The sequence below is a fragment of the Homo sapiens genome, chromosome 16 (genome assembly GCF_000001405.40).
Source record: "Homo sapiens chromosome 16, GRCh38.p14 Primary Assembly".
NCBI lineage: Eukaryota > Metazoa > Chordata > Mammalia > Primates > Hominidae > Homo > Homo sapiens.
In genome coordinates, this window is record NC_000016.10 from 12067085 (window position 1) to 12080716 (window position 13632).

Sequence of the window (13632 nt, forward strand, 5' to 3'; positions counted from 1 at the left end):
TGAGGTGGGAGGCTCTCTTGAGTCCAGGAGTTTGAGGCTGCAGTGAGCTATAATCGTGCCACTGCTCTCCAGCCTGGGTGACAGGAAAACCCTGCCTCTAAAAAAAGCGGGAGGGGAAGTGGACTTGAACTTCTTGAGAATTTGGAGTCAGTAAATAACTTGATGGAGACAGCAAGGTAGAAGAAAAGGTTAAAACAATTTTTTTTTTCCTGGTAAGTTTCCCTGAAGTTCAGCCCCTACAGAGCTGGGGGTTCTTGGGGCACCTTGAGTAAGCCAAGCAAAGATGGAGGGAATGGCATGGAGGATGGATGAGGAAGGCACCGAGGCGTGCTCTCTCCAGCACCATGTTCCTTGTCCCCGATGCACGGCTGGTTCCATAGTGGTCATTCACTAATAAGTTTCTTTTTCTTTTTCTCTTTTTGAGACGGAGTCTCACTCTGTCTCCCAGGCTGGAGTGCAGTGACGTAATCTCAGCTCACTGCAACCTCCACCTTCTGGGTTCAAGCAATTCTTCCACCTCAGTTTTCCAAGTAGCTGGGATTACAGGCGTGCACTACCTCGCACAGCTAATTTTTGTATTTTTAGTAGAGACGGGGTTTTGCCATGTTAGCCAGGCTGGTCTCGAACTCCTGACCTCAAGTAATCCACCTGCCTTGGCTTCCCAAAGTGGTGGGATTACAGGCGTGAGCCACCGCGCCTGGCCCAAGAAGTTTCTTGAGTGAGCAAGGTTTCTCCTGGGTGATACTGGCCTTAATGTCACCATGCAGCCCAAGGCTTATGGATTTGCATGTTTTCCTGGAAGGAGACTTGAGCATTTATGAAAATTGTTCAGGTCCCTAGCCCGTTAGTTCCAGAGACTACTTATGGCCCCAGCTCTTGTGAATGCCTTTCCTAAATGCACTTAATGCAGGGAAAATTGGCCTTTTTAGAAAGCCGCAGACATTGTCAGGAATTAGACCATGCTGCCCTCTACTGTCTGATTCAAGGCACTACAAGCAGGAGCAGTTTTGTCTTAACAGCAAGCTGATTCATTATACCCGGTTTCTGGCCCTGGTTCTGAATATGGACTTCATGCATAATTCCAGGTGGCTCAAGGTCGAAAATGTCACAGGCCAGGCACAGTTGCTCACATCTGTAATCCCAGCACTTTGGGAGGCCAGGGCGGAAGGATTGCTTGAGCCCAGGAGTTTGAGACCAGCCTGGGCAACATAGTGGGACCCCCATCTCTACAAAAAAAAATAAAAAATAAATTAGCTCGGCATGGTGGCACACACCTGTAGTCCCTCCCAGGTACTTGAGAGGCTGAGGTGGGAGGACCACTGGAGCCTGGGAGGTTGAAGCTGCAGTGAGCCGTGATCACACACCACCACTGCACTCCATCTCAGCCTGGGTGACACAGTGAGACCCTGTCTCAAAAAAAAAAAAAAAAAAAAAGTCACAGGTTAAGGGGAAGTATAGGGCTTTTAAAAAAAAATTTTTAATGGAGCTTCGCTCTTGTTGCCCAGGCTGGAGTGCAATGGCACGATCTCGGCTCACTGCAACCTCTACCTCCAGGGTTCAAGCGATTCTCCTGCCTCAGCCTCCCGAGTAGTTGGGATTACAGTCGTGCACCAACACGCCCAGCTAATTTTTGTATTTTTAGTAGAGATGGGGTTTCACCATGTTGGCCAGGCCGGTCTCGAACTCCTGACCTCAGGTGATCCACCTCCCAAAGTGCTGGGATTACAGGAGTGAGCCGCCATGCCCGGCCAAGTATAGGGCTTTCTGCTTCTACAGTGACTGATGCCAAGTCTGAGATTATCTCTGAACAACAGGAAACAGCTGATTAAAATCCAGCTTGCAGGAGAGATGGAGAAAAATTTCTTAGTCAAGTGATGTAGCAGATGAGCCAATGTCTGCATTGTGTCTTTGTCTTATGGAGAACATGTAGTGAGAAAAGTGACCTCTTTCTGTGATTGCTCTCTCTGCACAGATGCCCCCCTCGGAAGCCTGGAGAACGGGACAGGACCAGAGGACCACGTTCTCCCAGATCCTGGACTTCGGTACAGGTTAATATTGAGAAACCCAGTTGCCTGTGGCATTAAAACATCCTATTCACAGCTGTGCATTTTATTCTTTTTTAAAGATAGGAGTGCACCTGCTAGGATTAAAGGGCAAGGGTTTACTTCACATTTATGTTCAGATTTAGTCTTTTTTTTTGAGATGGAGCCCGGTTCTGTTGCCCAGGCTAGAGTGCAGTGGCGCAGTCTCGGCTCACTGCAAACTCCGCCTCCCGAGATCAAGCGATTCTCTTGCCTGAGCCTCCCAAGTAGTTGGAATTACAGGCACACACCACCATGCCTAGCTGATTTTTTTGTATTTTTAGTGGAGATAGGGTTTCACCACGTTGGCCAGGCTGGTCTCCAACTCCTGACCTCAGGTGATCTGCCCACCTCGGCCTCCCAAAGTGCTGGGATTACTGATGTGAGCAGATTTAGTCTTTACATCACAGAAGATGCAGTTGCCAAGGGTCTTAGATCATTACTGCCTCAGAGAGACTGTATAAGAGATGGTAGATGACGAATGTCAACACCTTTTGGGGCATATCTGGGTGCCTCCTCTATTGTTATTTTCTTTTTTTCTTTTTGAGACAGTCTCGCTGTGTTGCCCAGGCTGGAGTGCGGTGGCGCAATCTCGGCTCACCGCAAGCTCTGCCTGCTGTGTTCACGCCATTCTCCTGCCTCAGCCTCCTGAGTAGCTGGGACTACAGGCGCCCGCCACTGCGCCCGGCTAACTTTTTGTATTTTCAGTAGAGATGGGGTTTCACCGTGGTCTCGATCTCCTGACCTCGTGATCCGCCCGCCTCGGCCTCCCAAAGTGCTGGGATTACAGGCCACCGTGCCCGGCCTGTTATTTTCTTAATTTAAATATTTGTTGATATTTGATAACAAGATTTGACCATCCTAGTGTTGTATATTTAAGCCATTTAGATATTACATAGTATTTGTGAAGGGCTTAGTATGCTGTCTGGCATGTATTAAGCACTATATAGGTTTTCTTTTTGTTTTTTCAAATAAAGTATCTCAAGGGGAAATTGAGTTCTCCCAAGTTGTTGGATGCTTTTTTTTTATTATTTAAGTTTTAGGGTACATGTGCACAATGTTCAGGTTAGTTACATATGTATACATGTGCCATGCTGGTGTGCTGCACCCATTAACTCGTCATTTAGCATTAGCTATATCTCCTAATGCTATCCCTCCCCCCTCCCCCCACCCCACAACAGTCCCCAGAGTGTGATGTTCCCCTTCCTGTGTCCATGTGTTCTCATTGTTCAATTCCTATCTATGAGTGAGAACATGTGGTGTTTGGTTTTTTGTCCTTGCGATAGTTTACCGAGAATGATGATTTCCAGTTTCATCCATGTCCCTACAAAGGACATGAACTCATCATTTTTTATGGCTGCATAGTATTCCATGGTGTATATGTGCCACATTTTCTTAATCCAGTCTATCTTTGTTGGACATTCGGGTTGGTTCCAAGTCTTTGCTATTGTGAATAGTGCCACAATAAACATATGTGTGCATGTGTCTTTATAGCAGCATGATTTATAGTCCTTTGGGTATATACCCAGTAATGGGATGGCTGGGTCAAATGGTATTTCTAGTTCTAGATCCCTGAGGAATCGCCACACTGACTTCCACAATGGTTGAATTAGTTTACAGTCCCACCAACAGTGTAAAAGTGTTCCTATTTCTCCACATCCAGCACCTTTTGTTTCCTGACTTTTTAATGATTGCCATTCTAACTGGTGTGAGATGGTATCTCATTGTGGTTTTGATTTGCATTTCTCTGATGGCCAGCGATGATGAGCATTTTTTCATGTGTCTTTTGGCTGCATAAATGTCTTCTTTTGAGAAGTGTCTGTTCATATCCTTTGCCCACTTTTTGATGGGGTTGTTTTTTTCTTGTAAATTTGTTTGAGTTCATTGTAGATTCTGGATATTAGCCCTTTGTCAGATGAGTAGGTTGCGAAAATTTTCTCCCATTCTGTAGGTTGCCTGTTCACTCTGATGGTAGTTTCTTTTGCTGTGCAGAAGCTCTTTAGTTTAATTAGATCCCATTTGTCAATTTTGGCTTTTGTTGCCATTGCTTTTGGTGTTTTAGACATGAAGTCCTTGCCCATGCCTATGTTCTGAATGGTAATGCCTAGGTTTTCTTATAGGGTTTTTATGGTTTTAGGTCTAACATGTAAGTCTTTAATCCATCTTGAATTAATTTTTGTATAAGGTGTAAGGAAGGGATCCAGTTTCAGCTTTCTACATATGGCTAGCCAGTTTTCCCAGCACCATTTATTAAATAGGGAATCCTTTCCCCAATGCTTGTTTTTCTCAGGTTTGTCAAAGATCAGATAGTTGTAGGTATGCGGCATTATTTCTGAGGGCTCTGTTCTGTTCCATTGATCTATATTTCTGTTTTGGTACCAGTACCATGCTGTTTTGGTTACTGTAGCCTTGTAGTATAGTTTGAAGTCCGGTAGCGTGATGCCTCCAGCTTTGTTCTTTTTGGCTTAGGATTGACTTGGCAATGCGGCCTCTTTTTTGGTTCCATATGAACTTTAAAGTAGTTTTTTTCCAATTTGTGAAGAAAGTCATTGGTAGCTTGATGGGGATGGCATTGAATCTATAAATTACCTTGGGCAGTATGGCCATTTTCACGATATTGATTCTTCCTACCCATGAGCATGGAATGTTCTTCCATTCGTTTGTATACTCTTTTATTTCATTGAGCAGTGGTTTGTAGTTCTCCTTGAAGAGGTCCTTCACGTCCCTTGTAAGTTGGATTCGTAAGTATTTTATTCTCTTTGAAGCAATTGTGAATGGGAGTTCACTCATGATTTGGCTGTTTGTCTGTGATTGTTGTGTAAGAATGCTTGTGATTTTTGTACATTGATTTTGTATCCTGAGACTTTGCTGAAGTTGCTTATCAGCTTAATGAGATTTTGGGCTGAGACAATGGGGTTTTCTAGATATACAGTCACATCGTCTGCAAACAGGGACAATTTGACTTCCTCTTTTCCTAACTGAATACCCTTTATTTCCTTCTCCTGCCTAATTGCCCTGGCCAAAACTTTCAACACTATGTTGAATAGGAGTTGTGAGAGAAGGCATCCCTGTCTTGTGCCAGTTTTCAAAGGGAATGCTTTCAGTTTTTGCCCATTCAGTATGATATTGGCTGTGGGTTTGTCATAGATAGCTCTTATTATTTTGAGATACGTCCCATCAATACCTAATTTATTGAGAGTTTTTAGCATGAAGCGTTGTTGAATTTTGTCAAAGGCCTTTTCTGCATCTACTGAGATAATCATGTGGTTTTTGTCTTTGGTTCTGTTTATATGCTGGATTACATTTATTGATTTGTGTATGTTGAACCAGCCTTTCATCCCAGGGATGAAGCCCACTCGATCATGGTAGATAAGCTTTTTGATGTGCTGCTGGATTCGGTTTGCCAGTATTTTATTGAGGATTTTTGCATCAATGTTCATCAAGGATATTGGTCTAAAATTCTCTTTTTTGGTTGTGTCTCTGCCCGGCTTTGGTATCAAGATGATGCTGGCCTCATAAAATGAGTTAGGGAGGATTCCCTCTTTTTCTATTGATTGGAATAGTTTCAGAAGGAATGGTACCAGTTCCTCCTTGTACCTGTCGTAGAATTCGGCTGTGAATCCATCTGGTCCTGGACTCTTTTTGGTTGGTAAGCTATTGATTATTGCCACAATTTCAGATCCTGTTATTGGTCTATTCAGAGATTCAACTTCTTCCTGGTTTAGTCTTGGGAGAGTGTATGTTTCGAGGAATTTATCCATTTCTTCTAGATTTTCTAGTTTATTTGCGTAGAGGTGTTTGTAGTATACTCTGATGGTAGTTTGTATTTCTGTGGGATCGGTGGTGATATCCCCTTTATCATTTTTTATTGCGTCTATTTGATTCTTCTCTCTTTTTTTCTTTATTAGTCTTGCTAACGGTCTATCAATTTTGTTGATCCTTTCAAAAAACCAGCTCCTGGATTCATTAATTTTTTGAAGGGTTTTTTGTGTCTCTATTTCCTTCAGTTCTGCTCTGATTTTAGTTATTTCTTGCCTTCTGCTAGCTTTTGAATGTGTTTGCTCTTGCTTTTTTTCTAGTTCTTTTAATTGTGATGTTAGGGTGTGAATTTTGGATCTTTCCTGCTTTCTCTTGTGGGCATTTAGTGCTATAAATTTCCCTCTACACACTGCTTCAAATGTGTCCCAGAGATTCTGGTATGTTGTGTCTTTGTTCTCGTTGGTTTCAAAGAACATCTTTATTTCTGCCTTCATTTCGTTATGTACCCAGTAGTCATTCAGGAGCGGGTTGTTCAGTTTCCATGTAGTGGAGCGGTTTTGAGTGAGTTTCTTAATCCTGAGTTCTAGTTTGATTGCACTGTGGTCTGAGAGACTGTTATAATTTCTGTTCTTTTACATTTGCTGAGGAGAGCTTTACTTCCAACTATGTGGTCAATTTTGGAATAGATGTGGTGTGGTGCTGAAAAAAATATATATTCTGTTGATTTGGGGTGGAAAGTTCTGTAGATGTCTATTAGATCTGCTTGGTGCAGAGCTGAGTTCAATTCCTGGGTATCCTTGTTGACTTTCTGTCTCGTTGATCTGTCTAATGTTGACAGTGGGGTGTTAAAGTCTCTCATTATTATTGTGTGGGAGTCTAAGTCTCTTTGTAGGTCACTCAGGACTTGCTTTATGAATCTGGGTGCTCCTGTATTGGGTGCATATATATTTAGGATAGTTAGCTCTTCTTGTTGAATTGATCCCTTTACCATTATGTAATGGCCTTCTTTGTCTCTTTTGATCTTTGTTGGTTTAAAGTCTCTTTTATCAGAGACTAGGATTGCAACCCCTGCCTTTTTTTTGTTTTCCATTTGCTTGGTGGCTCTTCCTCCATCCTTTTATTTTGAGCCTATGTGTGTCTCTGCACGTGAGATGGGTTTCCTGAATACAGCACACTGATGGGTCTTGACTCTTTATCCAATTTGCCAGTCTGTGTCTTTTAATTGGAGCATTTAGTCCATTTACATTTAAAGTTAATATTGTTATGTGTGAATTTGATCCTGTCATTATGATGTTAGCTGGTTATTTTGCTTGTTAGTTGATGCAGTTTCTTTCTAGTCTCGATGGTCTTTACATTTTGGCATGATTTTGCAGTGGCTGGTACCGGTTGTGCCTTTCCATGTTTAGTGCCTCCTTCAGGAGCTCTTTTAGGGCAGGCCTGGTGGTGACAAAATCTCTCAGCATTTGCTTGTCTGTAAAGTATTTTATTTCTCCTTCACTTATGAAGCTTAGTTTGGCTGGATATGAAATTCTGGGTTGAAAATTCTTTAAGAATGTTGAATATTGGCCCCCACTCTCTTCTGGCTTGTAAAGTTTCTGTCGAGAGATCCACTGTTAGTCTGATGGGCTTCCTTTTGTGGGTAACCCGACCTTTCTCTCTGGCTGCCCTTAACATTTTTTCCTTCATTTCAACTTTGGTGAATCTGACAATTATGTGTCTTGGAGTTGCTCTTCTCCAGGAGTATCTTTGTGGCGTTCTCTGTATTTCCTGAATCTGAATGTTGGCCTGCCTTGCTAGATTGGGGACGTTCTCCTGGATAATATCCTGTAGAGTGTTTTCCAACTTGGTTCCATTCTCCCCGTCACTTTCAGGTACACCAATCAGATGCAGATTTGGTCTTTTCATATAGTCCCATATTTCTTGGAGGCTTTGTTCGTTTCTTTTTATTCTTTTTTCTCTCAAATTCCCTTCTCACTTCATTTCATTCATTTCATCTTCCATCACTGATACCCTTTCTTCCAGTTGATCGCATCGGCTCCTGAGGCTTCTGCATTCTTCACCTAGTTGTCGAGCCTTGGCTTTCAGCTCCATCAGCTCCTTTAAGCACTTCTCTATATTGGTTATTCTAGTTATACATTCGTCTAAATTTTTTCAAAGTTTTCAACTTCTTTGCCTTTGGTTTGAATTTCCTCCTGTAGCTCAGAGTAGTTTGATCATCTGAAGCCTTCTTCTCTCAACTCGTCAAAGTCATTCTCCGTCCAGCTTTGTTCCGTTGCTGGTGAGGAACCGTGTTCCTTTGGAGGAGGAGAGGTGCTCTGCTTTTTAGAGTTTGCAGTTTTTCTGCTCTGTTTTTTCCCCATCTTTGTGGTTTCATCTACTTTTGGTCTTTGATGATGGTGATGTACAGATGGGTTTTTGGTGTGGATGTCTTTTCTGTTTGTTAGTTTTCCTTCTAACAGACAGGACCCTCAGCTGCAGTCTGTTGGAGTTTGCTAGAGGTCCACTCCAGACCCTGTTTGCATGGGTATCAGCAGCGGTGTCTGCAGAACCAGGGATTTTCGTGATCCGCGAATGCTGCTGTCTGATCGTTCCTCTGGAAGTTTTGTCTCAGAGGAGTACCCAGCCGTGTGAGGTGTCAGTCTGCCCCTACTGGGGGATGCCTCCGAGTTAGGCTGCTCAGGGGTCAGGGGTCAGGGACCCACTTGAGGAGGCAGTCTGCCCGTTCTCAGATTTCCAGCTGCGTGCTGGGAGAACTACTGCTCTCCTCAAAGCTGTCAGACAGGGACATTTAAGTCTGCAGAGGTTACTGCTGTCTTTTTGTTTGTCTGTGCCCTGCCCCCAGAGGTGGAGCCTACAGAGGCAGGCAGGCCTCCTTGAGCTGTGGTGAGCTCCACCCAGTTCGAGCTTCCTGGCTGCTTTGTTTACCTAAGGGAGCCTGGGCAATGGTGGGTGCCCCTCCACCAGCCTCGCTGCCGCCTTGCAGTTTGATCTCAGACTGCTGTGCTAGCAATCAGCGAGACTCCATGGGTGTAGGACCCTCCGAGCCAGGTGCGGGATATAATCTCCTCACGCGCTGTTTCCTAAGCCCTTCGGAAAAGCGCAGTATTTGGGTGGGAGTGGCCCGATATTCCAGGTGCCGTCTGTCACCCCTTTCCTTGAACAGGAAAGGGAACTCCCTGACCCCTTGCGCTTCCCGAGTGAGGCAATGCCTCACCCTGCTTTGGCTGGTGCATGGTGCGCTGCACCCACTGTCTGGCACTCCGTAGTGAGATGAACCCAGTGCCTCAGATGCAAATGCAGAAATCACCCATCTTCTGCGTCACTCACGCTGGGAGCTGTAGACTGGAGCTGTTCCTATTCGGCCATCTTGGCTCCTCCCTTTTTTTTTTTTTTTTTGAGACAGTCTTACTCTGTCGCCCAGGCTGGAGTGCAGTGGCACCATCTTGGCTCACTGCAACATCCGCCTCCTGGGTTCAAGTGATTCTCCTGCCTCAGCCTCCCAAGTACCTGGGATTACACATGTCCACCACCATGCCCGGCTAATTTTTGTATTTTTCAGTAGAGACGGAGTTTCGCCATGTTGGCTAGGCTGGTCTCGACCTCCTGACCTCATGTGATCCGCCTGCCTTGGCCTCCCAAAGTGCTGGGATTCCAGGCGTGAGCCACCACGCCCAGCCTGGTCATAACATTTTTATGTAGCCTGGGTGACAAAGCGAGACCCTGGATGCTTGGTGGCAGAACTGAAATGGACACCAAAGTCTTATGCCACTGCCATCCTTGCTGCTATTACCGTTTTCTTCTTCTGTCTCTCCTCTTGGCTGTAATTTGGGGTCCCAGGGTGCTATTACATCCTTATTTTCAAACCTAGCTCTAGAGTGGAACTTCCTGACTACCGTAAACCATATTAGATGCCATGGTCTTACCTGGAACAGTCAAGGGTTCTGCTCTCTCAAAATGACATTGCTTGTAGGAAGCTTGTCGCAGTTAGTTCAGTGTCAGAAGGAATTGGTGTTGCCAGACCCTTCCAGGGGGTGGAGTCTTTTTTTGCTATTTATTTTAGAAAATGTGACTAGGCATGGTGGCCCATGCCTGTAATCTCAGCACTTTGGGAGGCCAAGGTGGGAGGATTACTTGAGGCCGGGAGTTCAACACCACCAGTCTGGGCAAGTGAGACCCTGTCTTTACAAATAAAACAACAACAAAAATTATCCAGATGTGGTGGTGCATGCCTGTAGTGTCAGCTACTTGGGAGACTGATGTGGGAAGATCACTTGAACCCAGGAGTTCAAGCCTTCAGCGAGCTGAGATTGCACCACTGCACTCCAGCCTAGTTAACGGAGTGAGAACCTGTCTTAAAAAAAAAAAAATTGGAAAATGCAACAGTAAATGAAAAAAGAAAATCAGTCTTAACCCTCAACTTCATTATGTTGTTGATGTTTTGGTACTTTTCCTCCTAGTCATGGTGTGTGTGTGTGTGTGTGTGTGTGTGTGTGTGTGTGTGTGTATCTCTGTTAACCATGTGATGACCGTGCTGTTCTCACCAAAGACACTAAACTTTATTTTTCATGTTGTAAATTATTTGTAAACATACAGTTGATTCTTATTATTCCCAGTAGTTGTATTCTATAAAGTTGCTATGAAGACTGAACCAGTGCTCCTAGGGGAAGTACATGGTTAAGTTGCTTTGAGGCTCTGGTCACACATTTTGTTTTTGAGATGAACTGTTGCTCTTTTGCCCGGGGCTGGAGTGCAGTGGCGTGATCTTGGCTCACTGCAACCTCTGTTTCCTGGGTTGAAGTGATTCTCCTGCCTCAGCCTCCCAAGTAGCTGGGATTACAGGCATGTGCTACCACACCCAGATAATTTTTGTATTTTTAGTAGAGAAGGGGTTTTGCCATGTTCGCCAGGCTGGTCTCGAACTCCTGACCTCATGTGATCCACCCGCCTCGGCCTCCCAAAGTATTGCGATTACAGGCATGAGCCACCACACCTGGCCTGGTCACAGCATTTTTATCAACTGATCAACACATAACCTGGTTTTATGTCTGTTCCTGTTTAAAGACACCTTGTTTAATGTATGCAGTTGATTCATTAACATTGAATTCACAGCCAGCAGCACTGTAAGCCATGCCTGAATGAAGCATCTCTAACTCACAAATTATCTCCATACGGCACATCACAGCCTTCCTGTGCTTAGGAACTGTCGGCAGTACCACTTCAGCACTGTGCTTGGGGACATTTTAAACAATAAAATCAAGTGGAAAAAAAGGCCGGGTGTGGTGGGTCATGCCTGTAATCCCAGCACTTTGGGAGGCTGAGGCAGGTGGATCACTTGAGGTCAGGACTTTGAGACCAGTCTGGCCAACTTGGCGAAACCCCATTTCTAGTAAAAATACAAGAATTAGTCGGGTGTGGTGGTGCGGGCCTGTAATCCCAGCTACTTGGGAGGCTGAGGCACAAGAATCGCTTGAACCCAGGAGGTGGAGGTTACAGTGAGCCGAGATCACGCAAAAGAAAGAAAAGTGGAAAAAAAAATGCTAAAAACATGGCAGTAAATAGACAGCAAAGAGGATGCTTGTTTACGGTGTGAGATCTGAGGTCCCAGCTGTTCGACTTCAGCTGAGATTATGCACATTAGGGAGTGAAATTATTGGCCTCTGCACGTGTTCATGAATGATTGTGAAAGCACCTCAAGTATTGACTTTGGGGTTACAAATAAATTTTAGTGCGTAGATGAATTTCCAAATACGGAATCTGCAGATAACGAGGCCTGACTAATTTCCAATGACTGCCTCTATCCCTTCTAGTAGAGGTACCGGAGTAAACCGACCTCTGCTAGTTTTTGGAATGGTGAGGGTGTGTACTTTCAGTGGCCGAGTGTAACTTCCTCCTGCCTGCTTTTTCCTAGTGTGGAAGCCAGCTCTCCAGGCCACGGAAGTCCTCTGAGCAGCCTGTTACCTTCTGCCTCAGTGCCAGAGTCCATGACAATTAGTAAGTACTTTCGCAGCCCCCTCCACCAGCTCTGGGATGACTTCTGGCCCACGTCTCATGGCGGTGCCTTTGTGCTTCTAACCCTGTGACTGTGGGTTCACGTCAGGTGTGTACGTCCCTGGTTGTAGACTGGAGGTGTGGTACGTGCTTGTGGATATCCAGAACCGTGGTTAATGCGTGGCGCTTGGGCGTGTGCGCGCTAAAGGGCGTGCCTCAGGATGGAGCAGCCTTGCCGTAGACTTCTGTGGTTCCAGGTTTTGGGGTTTGCCTCCCATAATGCAGTTAGCTACAGAGGACCTATTCTAGTTGGATTTCCTTTGTAACTCTGAAGGACTCATTTTTGTAAGTGAAGAAGAATATGTCTCTCCAAGATGATTAAACTTTGCTAATGATCAGGCTTCAACTGTTTCCAACTTTACTACCTAGAAAAAGTATTAGAGATATAGCAAGGAAGACTAGGTTTGAATGGCTTTGTATAACAAAGAATAAACCAACTGTTATGTAAACTGACGGGTGCTCCTGGTATCTCACTGGTGGCTTGAGCCAGCATTTGTCCCATGGCCTCCCCTGGAGGCAGAGGGGGCACTTGTTCCCAATTAAAAAAAAAAATTAGCTTTTGTTGCTAAGGAAGGAAGAAGGCGTTTGGGAGGCACCTAGCATTTTCTGATTCAAGGGTGAAGCAGGAAGTGAGCAGACACTATGTAAACCAACAGTTGGTTTATTTTTTGTACACAAAGCCATTCAGACCTACTCTTCTTGAAGTTCCGGTGGTTAAGGAGATGTGATGGAAATTTCTCTCTATCCAGAGGTAGATGGGCTGGGGCTGGTATGTGGCTCCACGGCCATCAGAGACCGGGACTCCTCCTGTCTTGCCTTGTAGACCAAAATAGCCATTTTAGCTCCAGCCATTTCATTCTCATTCCAGGCGGCAGGAAGGAGGAGAGAGCAGAGAGACTTCGTCTATTTCTACATATAGGATTCAGGGGCCTGAGCTTGGATAGGGAAAAAAATTACAATGTTTTTCATTTAGCTCTGGGTGAAATATAGTATTTTCTTCAATCATGATCATTCTATTTTGATGTAATTGGTTTCCTTTGTGATATGGTATGTTTTATATATTTTAATACATTTTCCTGAATAGGAGCCCATGGTTATTCCTAGATTACAAAATGGGCTCTTGGTACAAAAACGTTGAAGCTCCCCCGACCTTCACTAGAAGGTGCTTACAGTATACCACTCGTGTCTTGGGCCAGCATTCATGTCATGGTCCCCCTTGGCTGCAGAGGGGGCAATTGTTCTTGATAAAAAGGAAATTAGTTTTTGTTGCTAAGGAAGGAAGAAAGAGTTTGGGAGGCACCCAGCATTCTTTGATTCAAGGGTGAAGCAGGAAGTGAGCAGACACCGTAAGGCTGCTGCGTGGGAACGGCTGGCCGCACTTTTTGTATGTGAGCATGTGTGGTTTACTGTGGCGCTGCTCAGCCCTGAACTCCGCTGAGCAGGTGTTAATAGATCACTCAGTCCATGGGACACAGGGTGGGTGAGTATGTAGCTGGCTGCTTTTCACCTGTCAATCTTTTGTTTACCACAGTACTGTTACTTACCCTATAGTTTACTTTATTATTCATTTTTATTTATTTATTTTTTTGTAGAGTTGAGGTCTCACCATGCTGTCCAGGCTGGTCTTGAACTCCTAGGATCAAGCGATCCACCCGCCTCAGCCTTCCAAAGCGCTGGGATGACAGGCATGAGCCACCGTGCCCGGCCTACTACAGTTTACTTTTTTTTTTTTTTTTGAGACAGA

The 13632-nt window shown here is 44.7% G+C and overlaps 1 protein-coding gene across 22 annotated transcripts in view, besides 3 other annotated features; it reads left to right on the forward strand.

Annotated features, from left to right (window-relative positions):
* The window catches only part of SNX29 (sorting nexin 29), a 597554-nt gene that overhangs the window by 90351 nt on the left and 493571 nt on the right, over nucleotides 1-13632 (forward strand). For all 22 annotated transcript variants that reach the window (XR_001752024.3, NM_032167.5, XM_017023874.2 and 19 more), the window contains 2 exons: nucleotides 1973-2048; nucleotides 11749-11831. Coding sequence is in view for 21 of the 22 variants with exons in the window: in NM_032167.5 (NP_115543.3) it covers nucleotides 1973-2048; nucleotides 11749-11831 (159 nt within the window). In the remaining variant the exon portion in view is untranslated. The remainder of the gene's footprint in view (nucleotides 1-1972; nucleotides 2049-11748; nucleotides 11832-13632) is intronic.
* Nucleotides 788-1082: a silencer, noted in NCBI's record as "tiled region #15429; HepG2 Repressive non-DNase unmatched - State 12:CtcfO". NCBI's record gives its function as "represses a minimal TATA promoter and a strong SV40 promoter by Sharpr-MPRA in HepG2 cells {active_cell/tissue: HepG2}" and the evidence as "EXISTENCE:reporter gene assay evidence [ECO:0000049][PMID:27701403]".
* Nucleotides 977-1076: an enhancer, noted in NCBI's record as "active region_10464". NCBI's record gives its function as "activates an Ori minimal core promoter by ATAC-STARR-seq in GM12878 lymphoblastoid cells {active_cell/tissue: GM12878}" and the evidence as "EXISTENCE:reporter gene assay evidence [ECO:0000049][PMID:35858748]".
* Nucleotides 8295-8845: an enhancer, noted in NCBI's record as "H3K27ac-H3K4me1 hESC enhancer chr16:12169236-12169786 (GRCh37/hg19 assembly coordinates)". NCBI's record gives its function as "activates a minimal SCP1, AML or CMV promoter by ChIP-STARR-seq in naive H9 embryonic stem cells {active_cell/tissue: H9 hESC(naive)}" and the evidence as "EXISTENCE:reporter gene assay evidence [ECO:0000049][PMID:30033119]".